The sequence below is a fragment of the Homo sapiens genome, chromosome 12, assembly GCF_000001405.40.
Source record: "Homo sapiens chromosome 12, GRCh38.p14 Primary Assembly".
Taxonomy (NCBI): domain Eukaryota; kingdom Metazoa; phylum Chordata; class Mammalia; order Primates; family Hominidae; genus Homo; species Homo sapiens.
The window spans coordinates 66,432,423-66,456,493 of NC_000012.12; the positions used below are offsets into that span (position 1 = coordinate 66,432,423).

The window sequence follows — 24,071 nt, forward strand, 5'->3', positions numbered from 1 at the left end:
TTTTTGTATCATGATATAAAAACTTCGCAAAGACATATAAAACATTTGTTACACCTGCAAACCATTTGACAACACAGTTTTCTAATGCCTTTAAAAATTATTTAAAAGAAATAACTTCTACTTACAACTTATGGTTATTCCAAGTTCCACATTGTGCTTCTTAGGCAGCTTTACATGAAATGTTCCACTACTTGGGATGACAGACTCTAATATCAAAACAAAAAAGAATGTGTTAATAGAACACTGAGGACTGGAGCACCCATCAATAAAAATGCATTAGGAATACTTGTATCATAATCATATGTAGCTAAAACTGTAGGAACTGAAGTAAGATGAAGGCCTTTAAAATCCTAGTAAATTAAGCTCCTGGTGATGAATACACTTCCTATCCACAGGCAACTGTGCATAATTCACACCAACAGTTGAGTTCAGTATTTCTCAAGTGTGATGCATGCACCATCTACATCAAATTTACCTGGAATGGGAGTTACAAATAATGATTCCTGAATAATTCCAATCTATGAATCAGAATCTCTAAAGATGAGGCCTAGAGATCTCTAGGTGAATCTCAGGCATAGTAAAGTTTAAGAACCTTAGGTCCTATTATATTCTTTCCACCCCCAACCATATTTTCCAAGAGTGTGCTATTCAGTAATTCTTCCCCCCACCTCCACTCCTATTTATTGTTTGAAGGTACCTGGGAAAACAGATTTCAGGAGAGATGTCAGTTTGGTGTGATGGTTGCTGATTGGGCAGTGAGAGTGGGTGGAGAGGTGCCTTAATTTGTAATGTGAAAAGTACAATTAAAGAGGTAGAATCAGGAGTGACATTCAAAATATTTCACAACCAAAACAGTACTGGTTATCAATCAAAAAGACTAAAACAACCAATCAAACTAGATGCTGACCACAGAGTTGGAACACAGGGACCCAGCAGATTCCAACTACATTAAATGATCCTTTAGTTTCTGTATAATGAGGAGCTTTTAGAGATTCCAGAGAGGATCACAGGGCACTGGAAGGGAGTGAAAGTGGGCTCAGATACTGGCCAGTCAGTATAGAAGTAAGCTAATATCAAGGCAACAGAGAGAGAACCAGTGTACACTGGCTGAATCTCAACGCAGGACAGAGCTAAGCTGATTTTATCCAGACCTAATTAATGTCTGAGAAAGGAAGAAATTGCTACAGATTCTTAAATATACTCTTCTTAAAATTCCTTAACAGTCAGAAAGACCTTTAATTAATGATAAGGTTAAAATGGAAATATCCATTGAAGAGATAGCATCTATTCATGCTAAGTTGCTAATGACTATAATCCTTTCTGATGGTTTTGGAAAGAAGTGGGGAGAGGCTTCAGGAACAGTGGAAACTTTAGCATAAGCAGAGGATTGTGGGATGGGTGAGCTATCCACTTGGCCGGCTTGGTCAGCTTGACTCAAGGCAGGTGCCTATCCAGCACACAGACAATTAACCACAGCAGAACCATTAGGCACTCAGGCCCTTAGCTTAATTTACTAACCACATAGTTAACACATTTGAGTCTGTGCAAAGTGGAGGTGATGGTTAGGACTGGATTCATGGAAAGAGAGAGAGGACTCCCTTCTTTGTTTGGCCTTGAATTGCTCTTCTTGACCTCTCATCCTTTCTGAGGAAAAATTCAGGTATTAAATGTCTCACAAGACCAGAATCTGATTTTTCAACTCAGAAGTTTTGCCATACAGTGTTAAACTGGAGAGCACAATAGAAATTTGATTTCCCTGGGCCCGCCTAGCTTTTAGAAAGCCACCTATAAAAAAGGATCCCCAGACTGGCCCTCTCAGCATCAGTGGTGCTATGGGGTCTTCCTTCTCTGGGCTCCCTCCTTCGCTCTGGTTTTTATTTACTTCAGAGGGGAGTGAGGCAATCAGCTGCCTTTCCCATTTCCTCCCTCGACCAAGTGAGTGTCACGGACTGAGTTAACACCTTTGACTTCGGGGTTGTCTTCAGCTAACACTCTCATGGGCCAGGAAGTGAATCCACATATATTTATTTGTTTATTTATTCACTAAGAATTTGTATCCTTTCAATTTCTCAGTAGGACTTGAGATAGAGCAAATTATTTCCCACAGGAGATTTGAAAAAGACTGGCTAATCTGAAAAAGAGAAATGAAGTAGGTAAAAAACCACTTAGGTGTGCTTTACTTCCTGACTTCAGGAGCTGCAAATGTCATAAATATTTCCTTACAAAATATTTTCCAATCTATGCCTTTCCTGAGTCCTCCCCATACTGCGCTTTAACAACAAAAGGCTAATTGCCACCTTCCTTCTACCTTCAAAGTGACAGTTTAAGAATTTGGAATTAGCATGCACACTGGGGGCAGAGAGGGCCTTTGGAAGTGGCCAGGTTTTGCCCATATGCACCAGCAGCCAGTCAGCAGAGAGAAGGAAGAAAGAAGCAAGTGTGTATGAGGAGAGAGCCTGTGCCTGGCCTTGACAGCCATTGAAGTCAGGTTCTAGCCCTTCCTGGCTGTGAAACACAGATTGCGCTTCCAGTGAATGCCTCTTCTCTGATTAAACCAGGTGGAGTGCATGTTTCTTGCTGGCAACTGAAAGATCCCTGATGAACACATTGATTCGGTAGAGGAAATGGGATGAGGGCATGCAGAAAGCCTCCACACAAGTGTTTACGGGCATAGCAGAAAAAAATGATTTGATTACTTGGATAAAGCACACAAATGGCCCATAAGTAAATGTGCATGAAGCATCACTATTTGTAGAACTCATTTCACAAACGTGTGACCATTTTTTTTTTTTTTTTGGAGACTGGTTCTCACTCTGTCACCCAGGCTGGAGTACAGTGGCACAATCACAGTTCACTGCAGCCTTGACCTCTGCAGGCTCAGGTGATCCTCTTGCCTCAGTCTCCCAAGTAGCTAGAACTACAAGCACCTGCCATCACGCCCAGCTAATTTTTGTATTTTCTGTAGAGATGGGGTTTCCGCCATGTTGCCTAGGCTGGTCTCAAACTCCCAGGCTCAAGTGATCCGTCCACCTCAGCCTCCTAAAAGGCTGTGATTACAGGCGGAGCCACTGCACCTGTCCTACCCATTTAATATTTTCTGTTTTAAGAAACAGTTCTCTGTGAAAGGGGAGGGGAGCATACACATATTTGTACATATGTATCTGTATATCTGTATACGTATATAGCATCTTGCCCATGATGCTAAGCTTGTGTAAGTGAGGTCTTTGAAACACAAGGGCCAGAAAATGCTGTTCTAGAATAGTTACTACAGCAACATTTTGCTTTTATAAATTTTTAATCCAGGGAAACTTGACCAAGATTAACATTGTTAATGACACTGCAGGAGATATTATCACTTCCTGGAAAACAGTAATGAATCACTTCTGACTACATGAGATTTGAAATATTCATAATGATGAACAAATATCAACTAATAAATCTCTTTGATCAAGCTGTGGCTTCATTTTAATCTTTAAATGCCAACATGATTTATTTTATATTTGTTATTTTTTCTTTATATAATTATTTGGCTGCTAAAGCAAAGGCATATTTAATTTGGGGTTTCTTAAAGAAACACTAGTAAAGAGGAAAAGGTCCAATATTTGGAAAAACAGCAGGTTTAGAGGAAGTACATAGAATCTAAGAACAAATGATGTTTATTTTGTTAGACTCGCATGTAATTATTTTGTACTTCCCTGATTTTGCTTTATCTTTGTTAATGCTATAATTAAAAACACATTTGGGTAAACAAAGGTCTCCTTCTTTCCAAGTGGTCTGCTTTTCTGCCTGAAGCATTCATTGTTAGCACAGTAAGATAACAACCACACCGTAATTCATCAATGCAGACACCCTTTGTGAGGAACGTGAACGTTTAACTCCCACCAATGCAGAGAAAGGCACTGGGGGCTCCATAATGATGGCAAACATTATTTGATAGGATTCTCACCGAGACTTCTTTCCAGAACAAAGATATATATTTTTTTCCAACAAAATAACTTCAGACTTAAAGTAGAAACTTCAGGTATTATTCATGATATTAGTTGGAGATGGGTGTTTAAAAGGCAGTAACAAACAAGGCAAAATATAAATTGTGCATATATTATGGTTACAGCTTTATAAAATTATATGTATGGTAAGGATTTTGGTAAGAAATATAAAAAATTTAAACATATTTATTAGCATGATGGGGTTATAAGCACCTTTTACTTAAAACAATTTCATTAAAGTTACTATGCTGTTTGTGGAGTATAGTACCTATATTTAAAGAGACAGATTTGGGGCCAGGCGCAGTGGCTCACACCTGTAACCCTAGCACTTTGGGAGGCTGAGGCAGGCGGATTGCCTGAGCTCAGGAGTTTGAGACCAGCCTGGCCAACATGGTGAAACCTTGTCTCTACTAAAGATACAAAAATACTTAGCCAGGCTTGGTGGCACATGCCTATAATCCCAGCTACTTGGGAGGCTGAGGCACAAGAATTGGTTGAACCCAGGAGACGGAGGTTGATAGCACCACTGCACTCTAGCCTGGGTAACAGAGCAAGACTCTGTCTCCAAAAAAAAAAAAAAAAAAAAAAGGAGAAAAGGGAGAGAGATTTGGGCAAAAATGAGTCAAGCTTTTTTAACCACTCCATGTCAGCTTAAAATATTTATAAAATAGAGGAATTTGTCTCTGAGGTCCAAAGGTTTGGGAATTAATATCTGGTTGTAAAACATTTCTGAGGCAGAATTTTGGAAACGGATGGCTTACATCCAGAAAATTAGGAGTGAATTCAGAAGTACTGAACAGTCTTGAAACAACTCACATCCAGTGATTCCCCACCAATGTCCCAAGTTCTTGACTGGCTAGAAAGGATTTTTCTGAATCCAGTAGTTTCCAGTTGATACTAGTAGGTTGGTAATGACTAACTAGAGTGTTTTATTGAGGACTATGATGCTGTATCTGGGCTCAGCGGGAGAATATCGGTGTCAACTAGTGATGTCTGTCATGAGGAAGGAACAACAAGATGGGAACATAGCTTTTCTTGCCCTATTCTGTATTATTGCCATCTATTTGAAGTGGGTTACTTTCTGGAACAATCAAGGGCAGTGGGAGATGAACTTAACATTTCCTTTTCCTGTCCCTTATCAAGTAAGCTGGGTACTGAACAAAGTGGGTTTAACAGACACAGTTCCTATTTTTTAGGAGCTCAAATTTAAGATATTAGAGTATCCAATCAACAAATATTAAAATACACACATATATATTCACAAGTAAATACTTAGATACTGCTTATGAAGAAGACTAAATTGTGCTGGTAATTTGACAACTGGAATGTAGTGAGTGGGTGCTGCTGAATGTTCTACAGTGCACACAATGTTCAACAAATCACCTCCCTGCAACAAAGAATGTCAGTAGGGCAGAGGTTTAGAACTCCTGCTCTAATTGCTTCATCCTGGTAACATCTCTTTGAAGAGTCAGTGCAGTGTGATATGGTGAAGAGAGACTCCAAGTCAACCGACCTAGGTCTACGATTCACCCTGCTGTATGACCTTGGGTTTCCCCAATTGAGCCTCAGTTTCCCCATTTATAATGAATAAAGGTATTGGATTACAAGAGACATTTCACCACTAATGTTCTGTTATTGTAGTTAACAATAATTAACCATTAATGTTGTGTTATTGTAGTTATTGTACATTCTGGGGTTGCTGGACAGCCTTCTTTGAAAACCATATCTTCACCACCATCTGATCCATCCTTGAAAAGTCCTACTTGATTCTTCCGTGGTCACAGCTGACTAGAAGGGTAGGATACCAAACCTAAGCTGGGCCATTAGATTCTTTCTCCTGGGAATGAGAAATTAGAACTGGCTGGGTACTTTAGCAAAGATGGGACAATTACATACAATAAAAAGTCAGAGGAAACTTGTCTATAGGGACAAATGGAGCAGATATACAGAAACAAGCAGCACTGACAGACCAGGAACCCCAGAGAAACAGTAGGGATGATCTCGGCTCCTGATGCAGTCTGAAGTTCCTGATCCCAGTTCCTCAGTAGAGCCAACTGCTCTCTACCCATTCGTTCACCGAGTATTTTTTTTTTTTTTGAGACGGAGTTTTTTTTTTTTGCTCTGTTGCCCAGGCCAGAGTGCAGTGGCATGTTCTTGGCTCACTGCAACCTCCACCTCCCGGGTTCAAGTGATTCTCCTGCCTCAGCCTCCCTGGTAGCTAGGATCACAGGCACACACCACCATGCTAGGCTAATTTTTATATTTTTAGTAGAGACAGGGTTTCACCATGTTGGGCAGGCTGGTCTGGAATTCCTGACCTCAAGTAATCCACCCGCCTTGGCCTCCCAAAGTGCTGGGATTACAGGCATGAGTCACCATGCCTGGCCTCATTCACTGAGTACTGACCAAATGACAGCTTCTTGTATTCCAAGCAATACATTGGGTGCTAGGTGTACATTCATAAACAAAACCCACAAAGTCCCTGATTTCATAGGTTTTTCCACTGGAGGAGAGTGAAAATAAACAAATAAACATACAATATAAGGTCAGAGTGTGAGAATGGCTAAGCAGAACCATAAATCTGAGCAAGAGAATAGAGAGTGATAGATGGCCAGGGAAGGCTTCTCTGAGCATGTGACATTTGAGCAAAGACCTGAATGAAGTGAGCCAAACCACCCAAACATGACAGAAAGCATCTACTGCAAAGCTTCTTCTGTGGAATTGTGCTTGGCATGTGCAATTCAGCTAGTTCTTACTCCCCTCCTAATTCTAAGTCCTGCCATCCTTCTGTGAGATTTCACTGCATGGCTGGTCCCTCCATTACACTGTGTTCCCAATTCTCAGATCTCTCCTGGTTGAGGATCTTTACCTCCACTCCACTTTTACAAATCACCACCCTAAGTCTTGCTGGACCTTCTCTGAAATCCTAAACTCTAATACAGCACTTGGGCCTCAATCTCCTAGACATCAGCTCCCTCATTCCTTTCTCTCACTATCCCTTTTTCTTCCTGAAGATCTCTAGTTCCTTAAGTCTTCCCTTTTCTCTCAGTCTATCAGGCTGATCTATTATTGATTCTCATCTCTCCCACTCAGATTCTTTCAAACACAGTAGTGTAGTGTAGTGTAGTGCTGCAGGTGTGGCCTTTGAAGCCAGACTGCCTGGGTTAAAATTCCAGCCTACCATCAACTATGTGTGCCTCAATTTTCTGAGGACATAATCATAGTAATCTCTTCCATTGCTGTTATAAGAATTAAACAATTTGATGCACACACCACGTTTAGAAAGTGACAGGCCACAGAGCAAGCATTTGATAAATATTACCATAATAATTATGATGTTACTATCATAATTTTTCATCTGCTCTCCCAGAAGCATTTTGAACCTCCCTGACTAGTTCTTCTGTTGAACCTTCTCTGGAAACCTCAATCTCTGGCTCAATCTAATCCTTCATTTTCTCTGCTCTTTTTACTTGGCAGCTGAGGTCTCCTGAAAATAAAAAACAACAACAACTTACTCCACTGTGTAGGCTGATGCTGCTCTAAACTTGAAGCTTCCAGACACTGCTTGAATATCCTTTTACAGCTTCTGGTTGGTTTCCTCATGCATTCCTCTGATTTGCTATTCTAAATCTTCATTCTTTTCAACCCTCGAAGCTGCTGATCTTTTCACCCTTGCTTGACAGTTCTTACATGAACCATCTAAAAGCCAGCTAAAAATGTATTTATATTCTCACATCCTTTTCTTTTCTTTTTTAAAATTATTTTAATTTTTGTGGGTACACAGTAGGCATGTATATTTATGGGTTACATGGGATACTTTGATACAAGTATGCAATGCACAATAACCACATCAGGGCAAATGGGGTGTCCATCCTCTCCAGTACCCACACTTTGGGTTTCAAACAATCCAATTATACTCTTCTGGCTATTTTTAAATGTATGATTAAATTATTTTTTACTTCAGTCACCCTGTTGTGCTAGCAAACACCAGGTCTTATTCATTCTTTCCAAATTTTTTTTGGACCCATTAACCATCCCCACTCCCCACTATCATCACTACTCTTCCAAGCCTCTGGTAACCATCTTTCTACTCTCTGTCTCCAGGAGTTCAATTGTTTTAATTTTTAGCTCCCACAGTTAAGTGAGAACATGTGATGTTTGTCTTTCTGTGTCTCACAACCTTTTCTACAAATTCATAAGAGGTCTTCTACCTTCTGTCCTGGACTTCTCTTTCTCATTCCTTTGTGGATCTGATTCCATTATTATCTCTTCTCTCCCTCATTCATGTCAGGCCCCAAACATGCTCAATCTCTCCAATCTTAACAAAACAAAGCCGCAAAACAAAATAACACCCCTCTGAACTTTGAGTCTCTCACTATCTGTTGTCTCTTCTTCTTTCTCTACAGCTAAATTTCTTGACCTCACCAAATGTCCCCTGGGGCAAAATTGACCCCAGTTGAGAACTACTGAATAAAGGATATAATACAATATAAAATAGAGCAACAAGCACATAAGTAAATGCAGAAGTTCTCAAAAGAGGAGCCCACAATGGTGTCCAGTCTCTTTCATCCATTCAGTGCATTTTTCCGGCCAAACTCTCTTCCAAAATCCAGTTCCTAAAGCAGACAGCAAGCAGAGCATCTCTGTATTTGTCACTCTCCACTCATTCCTCAGCTCACTGCAATCTGACTTCCGCCCCTACTTTTCAGATCAATTCATACTATGGCAATGTCTTTCTTCTTAATGGCCAAATCCAAGGGACATTTCCTACCTTATGTTACTTGAATTCTCCATAGTATATTTAAGCTATCAATAGTGACTTTTGTCTTGAAATTCTTTCTTTGGCTTCCAAAATGCCACCTTCTTTTGGTTCTCCTTCCGTTTCTCAAGGTACACCTTCATCGCCTTTGCTCACACTTTTTTCCCTTTAAGTCTCAGTATTCCTCAGGCAGAGTCCCCTCCTTGGTCCCTTTCTTACTGCCACTCTTTCCTTAGGGGTCTCCTTTTTTCCTGTGACTTTAACCATCACTGCCATGTTGGTTATTCCTCGGTCTTGCTATCCAGCCCAGACCCTGAATCCTAGGCTCCAGGGTAATGCCTGCACTACTCTCTCCTGGGCCCTTCTTTCTGCATTCCAGTGGCAACACAAATTTGGCAAGTCTATTCTTACCATTCAGCAGCTCTTTCTCTCCTATTTAGCTTTGAGCTCTTTGAGGATATGGATCCTTTCTATTTTCTCTTTCAATGATCTGAAAATAGTACAGTGCTTAGCACCTAGTAACAGGTGCTCAATAACTGTCATTTGAATTAAGGAAGAGACATGCTTATCTTTTTTCTCTAGTATTAGCAGTGGATTTGCCAACTCATCTCTAAAATAGAATTATTTTTCCTATCTCCAAATTTCCCCTCTTCCAGTCTTCTCAGCTAAAGACATCACTGTCTACCTGACTGCTCACCCTCACACCTCAGGAGCCATTCATGCTCTTCCTTCTCCCTCATCTTCCATATCCAACCCATAAACAAGTGCTATTAGCTCTGCTTCGAGCCATGTCCTAAATTCCACTATCTGTCTCCAATTCCAGCACTACCACTGTGTCAAGCCACTATCATGCCTTACGTGTCCAACTGCCACAATCTCCTAACTGGTTTTTCTGCTTCTGCTATTTTCCCCTCCCATGTCAGAAGGCTCTTTCTAAAACATTCCTCAGATTAGCTCCTCTGCATAAAATGCTCCATGGCTTCATTACACTTGGAATGTGATCTAAATTCCTTACCAGACACTGCATTAGTCGGTCTCTCTAACCCCTCTAACTCCATCACCAAATCCAAACCAAATCCAAACCCAACTCCCTTATATTGTTCCAGGAACAGCCCTTTTTGTTGTTTCTCCAGCAAGCTAATTGTTCTGGCTTAGGGTCTTTACATTGCCTACTCCCTTTCCCTAGCACGCCTCTTCCGAGAGCCTTACAAGGCTTACCCGTCTCAGCTTTCATATCCCTGCCCAAATGTCACTCCTTAGAGCATCAGCCTACAAAACTAGCTCCCCTAAAGTCATTCTCTAACCCTCTATGCTGCTGTATTTTCCTCAGAGCACTTATTCTCTAAATTTATATTTGTTAATTTTAATGAATTAATTTTTTTGAGACAGGGTCTCACTCTGTCACCCAGGCTGGGGTTCAGTGGTACAATCACTGCTCACTGCAGCCTTGACTTCCAGGGCTCAAGTGATCCTTTCAGCTTAGCCTCTTGAGTAGCTGGGACTACAGGCATGCACCACCATGCCAGGCTAATTTAAAAAAAATTTTTTTTTTAAGAGATGAGGTCTCCCTGTTTCCCAGGCTGGTTTTGAACTTCTGGGCTCAAGTGATCCTCCCGCCTTGGCCTCCAAAGTGCTGGGGTTATAGGTGTAAGCCACCACACTGGGCAATATTTGTTAATTTTTAAATTAACTTTCTATATGCTGCTACAATACAAGCTTCATACAATATAAGCTTTTTAAAAAATATAAGCTTTTTTTACTTTCTTGTCTACTATTACATCTACATTGTGTAGGGGCATAACTGGCCCATGGTAAATAGTAAATATTTGTTGGAATAATGTGATCCCTGAGTCCACAAGCATATCTTTACTAATTGGTAAGGGTTATTGGGTCTGTGAGGTAGTCTTTCATTGTGTGAAGACAATTTTCTTAAATGGGAACTAGCACCAATCTCTAAAATCCACACACCTGTTAGCTACTGATCAGGACTCTGCCTGTAACCAAACTTTAGTTTGGCTCCCTGGAGCCCTCTTCTTGATTATGCCTTGTTTTTGGGCTGGGAGCCCAATTTTAGCAAGAATCCTGCTGAGTCAGTTTAGGGAGAATCCCCTTTGCCCCCCACCTTTGATATTTAATCGAGTTCCTTTTAGTAATTTTCCATTCAATGACTCCCTCCTCTTCACTTTGTCCTCTGGCTATAAATTCCCAACTGCTCTGGCTATATTTGGAGTTGTGTTCAATCTCCCTCCCCTACCGCAATATTTTTTTTTTCTTTTCTCTTTCTTTTTTTTTTTTGAGGTGGAGTTTTGCTCTTGTTGCCCAGATTGCCCAGGCTGGAGTGCAGTGGTGTGATCTCAGCTCACTGCAACCTCCGCCTCCCGGGTTCAGGCGATTCTCTGGCCTCAACCTCCCAAGTAGCTGGGACTATAGGTGCCCGCCACCATGCCTGGCTAATTTTTTGTATTTTTAGTAGAGACAGGATTTCATCAAGTTGGCCAGGCTAGTCTCGAACTCCTGATCTCAGGTGATCCACCTACCTCAGCCTCCCAAAATGCTGGGATTAAAGGCATGAGGTACCATGCCTGGCCTACTGCAATATTCTTGACCCCCTACTGCAGTAGTTTCCAACAAAAGTCTTCCTTGTCATTTTTAACAAGTATCTGCTGTCATTTCTCTTTAATATTAAAAACTAAATATTTGCCAACTGGGCTTGTTTAAATACACTTAGGGAATTTTCATTGCTCTCAAAAGAAGTTTCATGTGTTCTTTGCAGTGTGAAGGGTCAAAGAGAGGCTTTACTTGTCTCTGTGACTGAAGAATATGGTTTCTCTAGTATACAGAAGAAAGAAAGAATGAAGGCCACATGATTTATTTTTATCGCCTCTATAGTTGTGGCTATTATACAATTTGTCACATTTATTTTCAGTTGTTCTTGTGGTGACATTTTAAGGAATAATCCAAAACAATGTTCAATTCAAAACGACACCCCAAACCTCCTAAACAAAAGCAGGTTCAGCATATAAAATAGTTTCCTCTTGGCCGGGCGCGGTGGCTCACGCCTGTAATCCCAGCACTTTGGGAGGCCGAGGCGGGTGGATCATGAGGTCAGGAGATCGAGACCATCCTGGCTAACAAGGTGAAACCCCGTCTCTACTAAAAATACAAAAAATTAGCCGGGCGCGGTGGCGGGCGCCTGTAGTCCCAGCTACTCGGGAGGCTGAGGCAGGAGAATGGCGTGAACCCGGGAAGTGGAGCTTGCAGTGAGCCGAGATTGCGCCACTGCAGTCCGCAGTCCAGCCTGGGCGACAGAGCGAGACTCCGTCTCAAAAAAAAAAAAAAAAAAAAAATAGTTTCCTCTCTGCCACATAACCAATATAACTCACATGCAGTCCACTCCTGAGATGATATGATTATACCTGCAACATCAAACTCGATTTCCAGTGTGACCTTGCTCGTGATTGAAGAGTCTCGGAGGAGCTGACTGGCTTCTTCGAAGGTGCTGTCTTCTGTTGGAATTCCATTGATGGCCATCACTCTGTCTCCAATCTGTAGCACCCCACATCTAATTTAGAACCACATGTGAGAGGTTGTAGATGGAGTAAATAATTACCAAGCTGAGCTTGCCAAATCTACCTTGCTTGATCCTTGCAAAATAGCATCATAATTTGGTCTTGCTTATTCAATGCTGTGGGCATCATATAGGTCAAATTCAACGTCGTGTGTTGTTGCAGTTCATGGTTATAATTGTGAGCAGGGGAATCCTGAAGTATCCCAGAGAAGTAATTAATAATTCATAACCATGGTATTGTTAGAATCTGATCCAAACCAATATTTAGTAATGATGAATGTATATTCCCCCATGGCAGAAACTATTGAAGTTGAACTTCAGGATATGTTTATTTTATGGATTTTTCTCCTTTTTAATTAATATAGCTTCTAGTCCCTTGATGGACAAAATCTGCTAGTTAAAGGCATCCATGCTCATTACTCTTTTCAAACCTGATCAAGAACATAAAATTTTATTGTCAGAAGACAGTTCATCATATCTTGCATTTCCTGCATTGAGCAATGTTTCATAATTTACTAGCCATTCAAAGATAGCAGGTACCAGAAACGCAGAGCAGAAAATGATGCTGTGAAAGAAAGTGTCTCACCTCTCTGCTGGGCTGTCAGCTTCGATATAGGAAATCAGAGGTGGAGAAGAGAGAGTTTCTGTGGCAAACACACTGCCCTGCAGTTGGATCCCAAATCCTGTGACAGGATCTGCCGTCAGCACAACCTCTGTGGTTTCTGTGTGAACAACCTGCCCAGCCAATCCTACTGTGCTGGAGGCTAAGGACACTAGAGGAACAAACAGAAAATACTGACTTTAGGTTGGAGCAAGCACCAGGAATACCAGCATTTCCAAAATAGATCATGTCTCTGCATAAAAACTGAATGGCAATGGTGGGAGGTTAAATTATGGCCTCTGGTTTAGCAAGAGTTGAAAAAGATAAATGAATCTCTCAATATTCATCACAATTCTATAATAACATCAGTGTATCCCTGCACCCTGGCTCCCTACTCCTCAAACCAGGGATCATTGTGGGGGCTTTAAGAGGATGGCCTTAGGGTCAGGTTACATGGGTTTTAGTCCTGGCTCTATCACTGAGCACCAGCTGGGGAACCTTGGGGTAGGCCATTTTGTCTCTTTGTGTGTCTATATCCTATCTAAGAAAAAGGGAGTTGAGCTAGCTGGTTTCATGTTTTTTCCACTTTAGCCATTTGCATCTGGGCTTTGTGACTTTTAAACAATCCTATCTTCAGCTTTGAAGAAATAATTAAACTAAATCTGGCCCCTGGCGTGGTGAGGCTGTGCTGGTCCTCAACCTTAATCTAGTGTTGGGTTGGCATGATGACATTGTTTAAACTCTGTACATTCCTCCTGCCGCCCCCCACCACCACCCCAGAGTTTGGTCTCTTCAGTCCTTGCTCTTTCCCACTGGGTTTCTAGTCTAAGTTGTTGTATTTCATTTATTTCCTATTATTTCTCCTCTTTCATTTATCTCTCTGATATTCATCTACACCTTCCAGCAGACATCTCCATCTTATTTCCATTCTGAACTCATGAAAGGGCTGCTCCACTCCTCCATGTCTTTCTCTCAGCCCTGCCCATTGGAGTGTGGCCACCCGTGCTCTCTGTGAGCACAGCCTCTGCCTGCAGGTCCTATGCTGCACTGAGTCTTCCTCCAGAAAGAGTCTGGCCCCCTTTAACTAAAACCTGATAACACCATATACCTCATAACCCTCTTCAAAAGCCATTTTCTTTTACTCCCTCTACAGGTGGCAGGAAGACAGGTTCATAATACTCCTTGCTCTCCACATACGGTACATTGATTCAACTACTCCTATTTAAAATTCCATATTCTGTACTTATTTCTGCTCTGTCTCATTTTCAAGCCCATAATCTACTTTTTCAAAATTCTCCCCCTTTTCTTCATGACTTCAGGACTTGCCTCTTAGTCTGCCTCCTCTAACCTATAGCTTTTCCTTGTCCTCTGCCTCTTTGCCATTATGATGATAACCTTCTAGCAAGCTGGCTTTATGCTTCTTCAACTCTCTTCATGTCAGTTCCTAGCAATACCACCCTACTTCCACTCTCTGCCAGCAGAGCCCTATGGTGGTCTCCATCTTCCTTCAAAATGAATAGATCTTCAAGATCTCAATATCTGAATCCCCCTTGTTGATCACATACCCTTTATTAGCCATCTCTCCCACTTCCTGCAATCTGTCTCCTCTTTATGACTTTCAGTCCCATTCCCTCTCACTTGTCTCCTGAGTCTATTGATTTTAGCAACAGATTTTTCCCCCTTAAAATGAAAACATATAAGGGATGCCTTTGTATTCCAGATAAAAACAGCTACTGTAGTTGATGTGGGAATGGGAGACCCCTGAGGTTTTCCCTGGCCTCATGTGGGGATCTGGTAAGTGCAGGTGGAAAGCCATTGTCTTCGCCCACTGGCTTTGCTGGCATCATTTTCCCCACACTCTGCCTGGACCCCTGGTGAGCATTTTAATAATGCATCTCCTAGGCTCAAAGATTCCTAAACCTCATGGGATTTTCCTATACCCTAATACTTTATCCTCTATGGTAATGCCCGGTCAACTCCACTGTTGTTACTAAGTTGCTGAAGGGTGCTAGGAAAAGTCACTATGAATTCACAATCCTATTAGGTCCTTAAATTATTTGTTGTGTGATATTTTGACACCTTATTTCATTCCACAAAGGATTTGTCTCAAATGTTTCTACCCTAAATCATGGTCAAATGTTACTCCTCATTTCCTATAAGACTGAAAAGATGCAACCCTTTGACGAGAGTTCCTTAAACAACATTCTGTTTAGCCTCAATTTCTCTTTATCATTATTTGTTCCCTCTTCCTTTTTTCCCCCACTACAGGAGGTTGTATCCTTCCTTCCATTTCAAGGCTAATTCCCCCTTTTAGTGTTTTTAATACTATCCCTTTCCACCCCCCATGATTTTGTGCCATGAAAAAATTTGCCTCTTGCTGCTTTTCCAAACTTTTCTGCTCACTCCCCCAGCTTTCTGACTTCTGTCTATAGACGTGTACTGATTCTGAAGTGGCTAAAAACTTGGCTTCTGCCTTCACCATTTACTGAAACTGCTCTCACCAATGACTTCCTGACTTCTAAAATCAGTGGCCTCATCTGCTCTAGCTGGCGACTGGCTTTAGGACCATCCCTTGCTTTCTAAAATTGTTTGCTTGGTTTTGATGAAGGTTTGTTTCGAGTGTCTTACTTTTTCAGCCCCAGCCAGTTGCTTTGCCTCCCTCTGCATTTCAGCGCACAGTTCCATCCTCCAAGTCTTTTCTACTCTCATTCTTTCCCTCATTCATGCCTACATGTCTTCTGCATGTATCTTCTCAACTCTTTCTCTTGTTTTTGTCAAGCTCCAGTAATGGATCTCCCTCCTTGATGGGTATGCCATCCACACACTCTCTCATTGGCTCCTCAAACTCAATGTTTTCAAAATTGAGCGAATCCTCTTCCCTCTCTCATTGCCACTACTATTTCTGTGAACAGGACCATCATTTTTATTGCCCTCTGGGCTTAAAATCTCAAAGTAGCCTTAACTCACAACTCCCCATTGTCTCAAATTCTATCCATTGCTAAATCCTTTCTGGATGACTAGTGAAATATATCTTACAAAAATCCTCTTTTCCCTTATTAATTTCAGTACCTCAATTTGGGCTTTCATTATTTTTTATTTGAATTATTCTAATGTACTTATTTCTGGGTCCTTACATGCAAAATATTCCCCACATATTATTTCCAGATGAACCTCCTGTCAAACTTTCCGGATATGATGAGGCCCCAACTTATTTACTCTGCATGTATCTTCTCAACTCTTTCTCTTTAGTTTCTGTCAAACTCCAGTGATGGATTTCCCTACTCAATGGATATCCCATCCACAAACTGTCTCATTGGCTCCTCAAACTCAATGTTTTCAAAACTGAGTGAATTTTCTTCCCTTTCTTATTGCCACTACTACAGAGCAAGGCCTCATCATCACCAGTGTACAATACTGGATAGACTTCTAACTAGTGACCCTGCCTCTTGTTTTATGCTAACAGCCTCCAATTGCTGCTAGGGTAGCCTTTCTAACATGCAAGGGTAACCCCTGCCCTGTTTTGAATTTTCAATAGCTTCCTGTTTCCTATAGAACAAACTTTTCAATTCTAGCAGAGCACATAGGACCCTTCATCAGTTCCTTTCTCCTGCCCATCCACTCTCCTGTTTCTCTGTGATCCCTTCATGTGCCATGTGCCCCAACCCTCTTGACACACTTTTGTGTCTTCATATATACTGTGCCCTCTGCCACTCAGCTCTTGCTCTGGGTCCTTTTCTCTGTTTTATCCAGGCAGAATTAGGTACTTGCTTTTCTGCATTTCCACATTTCTAATACATGGTCCCGTTTCAGCATTTATCAGGTCTCTATATGCCTGTTTCTCTCCACCTGACCCTGAGTTTTTGAAAGGTTGGAACCAGCTCTTTCAATCTCTGAAATCTTAGTGCCTGGAAGATTCAACAAATGCTGAATAAATGAGGAATGAATCAAATTTTGGGATGTCATCTACATATTCCTTTTAGGAAACAACACTTCTCATAGATGCTGCTGAGTTACCATAAGGAACTACAAGTCATTCTTCAGGGCCCAGGTAATTGCAGCTGATGGGGCAAGGGAGGGTGAAGTAGATCATTTGTCTAGGAGGAGTAAGAAAAAAAATCGACTTTTCCTTAAGAAGCACCATTCTCATTCCATCTCAGCTGGATTAAGGTTAACATAGCCTGCAGTGGGGGGTGAAGATAGCCTCCAACCCTACGCTTCTTACAGGTGGAAGCTTGCAATTGCCAGGTCTGACACATAGACTGTCATGTATTAATTTAGATCACATGTTCTAGTGTGGTTTCGCTGATGTAGAGTGTACCGTGATTACTCTCCAGATAATAATTTTTGCTATCAGTGGCACCAAACCACTGGGAGACACCATTTCCTGTCAATAAGGATCTGGAGAGTATGTTGCATTCCAGTTATTACTCACAGAAGATGAGAGTATCATGTTACAGCATCACCTATTTGGCAGGTAACTTCCACTTATCTTCTAGGTGAAGCTTTTTGGACTTAATCAGTAATCCTTTACTTTCTTTGACTCTTTTATAGGTTCATATTAATTTTTTTTTCCATTTGAGATCACAATTTGATACAGATTATCGGACTACTTAATTGGAGTTAAAAGCTGTTTCAGAAACTTTAAGGCAGCTGTTTACCATCTTCACTAAGAAAGAGCCAAGAGCCGGGCGCGGTGGCTCACGCCTGTAATCCCAGCACTTTGGGAGGCCGAGTCGGGCGGATCACGAGGTCAGGAAATTGAGACCATCCTGACTAACAGCGTGAAACCCCATCTCTACTAAAAATACAAAAACAAAATTAGCCGGGCGTGGTGGCAGGCGCCTGTAGTCCCAGCTACTCGGGAGGCTGAGGCAGCAGAATGGCGTGAACCCGGGAGGCGGAGCTTGCAGTGAGCGGAGATCTCGCCACTGCACTCCAGCCTGGGTGACAGAGTGAGACTCCATCTCAAAAAAAAAAAAAAAAAAAAAAAAAAAAAAGAAAGAGCCAAGAAAAAAGAAGTCAGTTTAATAGTAACAGGTGAGATTATACTAGATATAGTGAAGCCTTCTCAAAGGAAAGACTTGCTATGTTTTTTTAAACAGAGAAGATAGTTGAATAATTTTATTCTCTAGAAGGTTTTGAAAATAAGTACTAATTTAATGTGAATATTATTAAATTTATAAGCTCTATTTGGAGGCAAGTTGAGATGATAAAAATTATTAGAAAATTGAATTTAGGATTTAAAATAAATTTATGTATTATGTATTGGTTTTATAATTAGTTATAATTTATATTATACATATAGCATTGTAGTAAATAATTTATGATTTTATAATTAACTCTGAAAGTCTTCTGACATATTGGAATCTTTTATTTGACAAAGAGCAAAATTTCATTTGAAATTATATGTATTGATTAGTTACACATATAAAAGTTTTGAAAACTATTACCAGATATGAAAAAGATATATTGTGATTTAAAGATAAGGAATCAAAAGAAAAAAACAATCAATATTAACTTGGAGGAGAAAAAAATGAGCTTGATTATCCTGCTTCATTAATGTGGTCAACCAGCAAAGTAAATGAAGGTGAATATTCCCCCGTCATTTGAAAATGTGGATGGTGAATTGTCTCTCTAGTAGCAGATGCTTCCGCAAGGTATTCAGTCGTCATTGCTGCAAGCTACCGGCTTTGGCTGAGGCTTGCCTACTCCTCAAGGTGAAGATGGAAATGACTAAATTGCTGACATCCTAACTGGTGTATGCCGAGGTTGTGTTCAGGATTCGTTCCTGCTCTGTCCTGTTCCCATTCTCACATGGAGGGTTCTGTTCACAACTCTTCAGATTTGTAGGGAATGACTACATTTTTGTCAATTCTTGTTCTTCCTAGTGTAAGAAAGGGCAGGGGGAGCCAAAAACACCTCCAAAAGTTTAAAAATTTACCAAATGCTTATTTAATTTAGAAGGCTGAAAGATTTCCTATCAGCTATGAGAAGCATTTAAAAAATATAGAGAACTAAGGACCCCAAAGATTTATTATTATAATCTGTTTTTTTTTTTTTTTTTTTTTTTTTTTTTTTTTTTTTTCAGATAGGCTCTCACTCTGTTGCCCAGGCTGGAGCATAGTGGCAGAATCTTGGCTCACTGCAACCTCCATCTTCTGGGCTCAAGCGATCCTTCCACCTCAGCCCCCCAGGTAGCTGGGACTATAGGTGTGTGCCACCACACCTGGTTGATTTTTTCTTTTCTCTTTTTTGTAGAGACAGGGTTTCACCATGTTGCCCAAACTGGTCTCAAACTCCTGGGCTCAAGTGATCCACCCGCCTCAGCCTCCCAAGGAATAATGTGTTTTTATTATTGATCCTGTAATCTAAGACTTCTGTCTCACTAAAGTGTCCCACACTATAGTCAACCTGCCATAGACCTAACACATGTGTATCATGTGATCTGGTTCAGGAACGCAGTAGAGGTGGCCAACAGCTCCTTTGTCCAAATGAGGGTGTGAGGACAGTTCTTAGGGTGTCTTCTTCAGGGCTCCCTGAATGGTCACTTATAAAAGCTTACCAGTAGCTGCCTTTATCTTCCATTCTTTGTTCCCAGGTCAATAGAAGGGACCAGAAAAGTTGTTAGGTTTTTTCATTTTCTTTCCTTCAGCTCTTTTCAATGGCACTCTCTCTAATAGTAGTTACTACTGATGACAAAAGCAGCAAAGACCATTCTGGAAATGTGTTCTAACTTCTACTCTTTGCCGCAATTCAGGCAGACTGGGAAGAGACGGAGTCTCTACACTGGCCCAGGGTACAGTGGTGGGGAACAGAAAGCAGGGCAAACTAGCTAGATCTGTTGCTCAGCCATGCTGTTGTTACAGGGAGATGATGAGGTTCTGGAAGGAGACTTGGCCTCTTTGGCAGAAAAAGAGGCAGCACAGGCAGCCAGGGAAAGGGCAGTAAGATTCCAGCAGAGGAGATGAGAGGGCTCCCTCTATGACATGGCTTGGCAATGCCTCCAGGGCTTTGTGACACTTGTCAAAGCCTAATGTGTGCTGTATTAATTATTTTCTCTATGAAACAAACATGACACCTTCCTGTTTTAATACTTGTAACACATCACTATATACAGACTTCTTGTATTTCCTCTTTGATCAGTGATACAGAATGTTTTAATTTTCATGTGAGAAGATTTCATTTTTTTTCTGGGCATCTCCTTCCTTGGCATTGGAAATACATATGAGCATTTTCTGTTTTGCAAACTCTGGCCTCAAGTCATCACCAATACAGCAAAGAGACTTTTTGCCATGATTCACCATCTACACAAATGGCCTGGTTGCTATAGAAACATATGTATTACAAAGGGGGCAGCAAATGGTGGCACAGGATAAAGACATAAATAAAGCAGTGGAAATAAACCATGGTATACTAAGAGTGGCAATAAAACTTTTATTATCAGTTATTTGGGAAGACCTTTACATCTAATGTGACCATACCAAACCTATGCAATAAAAGAAAAGAAAAAAATCCTCACTTAAAAAAAACAAAAAAACCTTTGCAATGCTATCATTTTTTCAGGTCTTTTTGAAGTGTGAATAAAAGTTCATAGCATTTTGGAATTTATGGTTTGAATAAAATACAAAATGTGTGATCTCCTGAGACACATTTATAAACATTCTGGTATGTTTATTGTGAGTGGTGCTCTAGTGGCCAATGTCTACAGCAAACACAAACAACTAGAAATGTATTGAAATAGGTATTTCTACCATGTTGAAGAATAATGTCCTGATTCAAGAGAGAATTTATGCGTTGGTTATGCATATCAGTGACAGCGCTGCCTCAGCTTTGTTTCCTACTACAAAATTTAAGATATGAAAATATCAACCTGAGATAGCCAAACATCATTTGTTTGTATTCACTAATGTCCCTAATCAACACAGCAAGTCTTACCTAACACAAACAAATACTAGCCTTTGAAGCAGAAGTATGAACACTAATGAATTCATTTTAATTGCTCTTCCCTGCTGAGTGCTGTTAGCCTGTTTTTGTCACTGAGGAGTACTACACACAAAGCCATTATCTGTTAAAAAAATTCATACACAAATACCCACCACAAACCCTGAAGGCATTACATAGAAGACTAAAGATCTACGTATTATGCCAAAATGTACCCCTCGTTAAAAAGATTGAACTTTGAGAGCACTGTCAAGAGATTTTCTCATGTGACAATTCATATTTAGGCCGATGACAGTTAACACAAACTATTCAAAATAGCTAACAATTAAATTGTGCTTACTATTTACCAGGTGTTGTTCTAAACACATATACACATGCAATCTCATGTAATCTCAATTACCCAATGAAGTAATTCTTCCTATTTTCAGTCAAGGCATACCTCATGCAGTCTTCACAATTACCCAATGAAGTGATTTTCCCTATTTTCAGTTGAGGCATAGAGAGTTTACAGAAGTTGCTCAGGGTCCTACAGCTAGAAGGTAATGATGCTGGGATGGAACCCAGGTAGCCTGGTTCCAGAGTCTAGGCTTATAACCAGTTCACTGTATTGCATTCAACTAGTTTCTTCCAAGAGTAAATAATTTACTCTAGTGTCAGCTAAAAAACACATGGGACTCCAGGAGTACTTTGTTCTCATTTTGACTAAACTCAATCTTCCACTTTCCTAATTTCATTTTTACTATCATTTTCATATACCAAAGATGACAAATCTCCTTATATGTAAAAGTATGTGCAAGTCTAAATCATGTACAAACCACAGTGGTGACCCTGTCTTATGCAATGGAGTTCACTGTAGGGAAAGCTTCAGTTTCCTGTATCATGAAGAAACTAGCTCCCAGTGTGGGTGATAGCTGGTCTTGGGCACTTAGGGTGGCCCTGGTGAGACTGGAGAGAGATCCTCCTGGGGAGATGAATCTCTTGCAAACAAGCTGAAAAGCCAGTAAGTCCATAACAGCTGTGAAGTATCTGGCTTTGGTTTTATTTAAGTAACTTAAGGATGTTCCTTATTTTTATTCCCATGGTGAGCACAGGAAGAGATCCCATCTTCTTTAAATTTCTCTGTTTAAATCATAATCATGGCCATCAAAAGGGATACATGACAAGAAACAGACTCTCTAGACTATGATTAGGTCTAGTTAGAAAGGTCAGTGTTCTCTTCTTCCACAAGTTATATGATCATGATAAGAGAGAATGATCTTCCCCAATAGAAACGATAAATGTAGGAGTGATTTATATTTCTTTCTTTTTAAGGCATTCAATCACCTTTTTTACCCCTCTATTCAGACAACCAGCTATCCCAAAGCAAGTAGCCAACTATATCTTCCTAGTTTTGCTTAGTCTATATCGTGTTTGGCTGTCCAGATCATTTTTACAAGAATCATGGTTGAAATTCCTAGACTTTAGGATGCTTATTGTAAAGCTGAGCATCCTTCCAATCTTCCTTAGGCTGGAGTGGACAGTAAGAAGTGTATGTTAGATCACTGATTACCAGTGGGGTAGGCTTCTGGAAAAAGTATTGGAGTCTTGGGGAATGAGATATAGTTTAAAAGGGAATGTTCATATTTATCATTGTTTTGGGGAGGAGGGTAACAAAATATAATTTAGTATAAAATTTATGACAACATTAAATGAATGCATGAGAATCTTATATTTATCAAAAGGGGAGCATCGTTTTCACAAAATTTCTTTAGAATGAGTAAGAAACTAAGAACAAAGGTTTCATGTCCAAAGCCACCCAGAATATAATAAAAGGAGTCTTAAAGGAAAAATCATATCTTTGGGTATGTTATGACATCAAAAGAGCAAGAAAAATCTCAAATCTCAAATAAAAAGTTGTAGGCAAAGGTAGTATGAATGAATTCAGTCTGAAGTTAAATTGGGGTGCAGTCATTGCCAAACAGATACTGGGTATCGTGTCAACGGTCTTTGGCACAGAGCTGTTAGCTGCTCAGCATCTACCTGATCACTTAAGCAACTGTGAAACACTCTTCCCACAATTTCGGTATTTTCAAGGCTCCATTGCCCACAGGTTTTTTCCAGGCCAAATGCCATTGGCTGTCATTTCACTTACATGAGCTTTTGAAGTCTTTCTTTTTCAGTCTCCTCCTCATCATGGTTCCACGTGGGCTGGTGGAGTAGAGGCTTCGAGGTAGAGTCCCCATGTTCAGGGAACTCAGGCTGTATGCACTCATGGAGGTAGGAGAGAAGGATGAAGACACCAAAGCTGCTGCAAGAGAGTGAAGACGTTGCACAGAGCACTCTCAGGTGAGGTGTGAGCCCGCCACACTTGTCAACCAGTAACAATCCAGAAAGACACACATGATGCATAGCAATGGCTAGGAAGGACCCCAGCCAGCTAGAGGCCAGCTCTCAGGAGCATGAGACAATGCTTTACAAGAGCCTACAAATGCTGAGGGGCAGCAGGATCTTTATAAGCTCATAGGAACACAAAGAGACTCTGTGAGAATTGCTTTAAACAAACAAAAGAACAACTTTGTCCATGAACAACTCAATGCATCAGATACATAATCTCATTTTCATATTTTCTGACATGAATTTCATAAGTGATTCCACATATACAAAGAAGACCTGAGAACATTGTCTCTGTATAATATTCTGAATTGTTACTTCCTGAGCCACATATAAAGCATTCTGAACATTTACATCCTTTCCTAACAACAAATGCTTTCTGATGGAAAAGAAAAAAACCTAGGAGATGTCAGAAATGATAAATTGCTACTATAAGAAACAGAAAAAACAACATCCATGAAGCCAAAGATGAGAAAAGGAGAGTGTGAGAAAAATATAATTGAAATAAAAGACCAGGAGGAGAAAGCATGGAACATTACGAGGGCTGTTTGGAGGAGGTGCTTTCGGGAATGTCAGGGCTGGTACTCTGCAATGGTCAGGGTGGTACGTGTTATAGTGATGGTTGGTGTGAAGGCTGCTGTGGTTGCTGGCCCAGGAATCCCAGGTAAGTTGCCTGTCGCTCCTCTGAATTTTCACTGCCCATATGAAGTGATGATGAAAAATAAGAAAAACAAACGAACAAACAAAGAACCAAAAAAGAGGAAAAATAACTGAATTGCCCAAATTAAAAGTATAACAAAAAAGAAAGCTGCTTGCAAATAAAAACAAATCTACTTGGCTTTGCCC

At 40.5% G+C, this 24,071-nt stretch overlaps 1 protein-coding gene across 22 annotated transcripts in view; it reads right to left on the reverse strand.

The window, feature by feature from the left end:
- Positions 1-24,071, reverse strand: part of GRIP1 (glutamate receptor interacting protein 1) — a 721,908-nt gene that overhangs the window by 84,992 nt on the left and 612,845 nt on the right. For 8 of the 22 annotated variants that reach the window (XM_005268757.5, NM_001439322.1, XM_005268754.5 and 5 more), the window contains 5 exons: positions 23,765-23,920; positions 22,987-23,142; positions 12,900-13,086; positions 12,162-12,307; positions 126-206 (listed from right to left, as the gene is read on the reverse strand). In XM_005268757.5, the coding sequence (XP_005268814.1) occupies positions 126-206; positions 12,162-12,307; positions 12,900-13,086; positions 22,987-23,142; positions 23,765-23,920 (726 nt within the window). The remainder of the gene's footprint in view (positions 1-125; positions 207-12,161; positions 12,308-12,899; positions 13,087-22,986; positions 23,143-23,764; positions 23,921-24,071) is intronic. The other 14 variants (NM_001379349.1, NM_001379347.1, NM_001366724.1 and 11 more) reach the window with 3 other exon arrangements.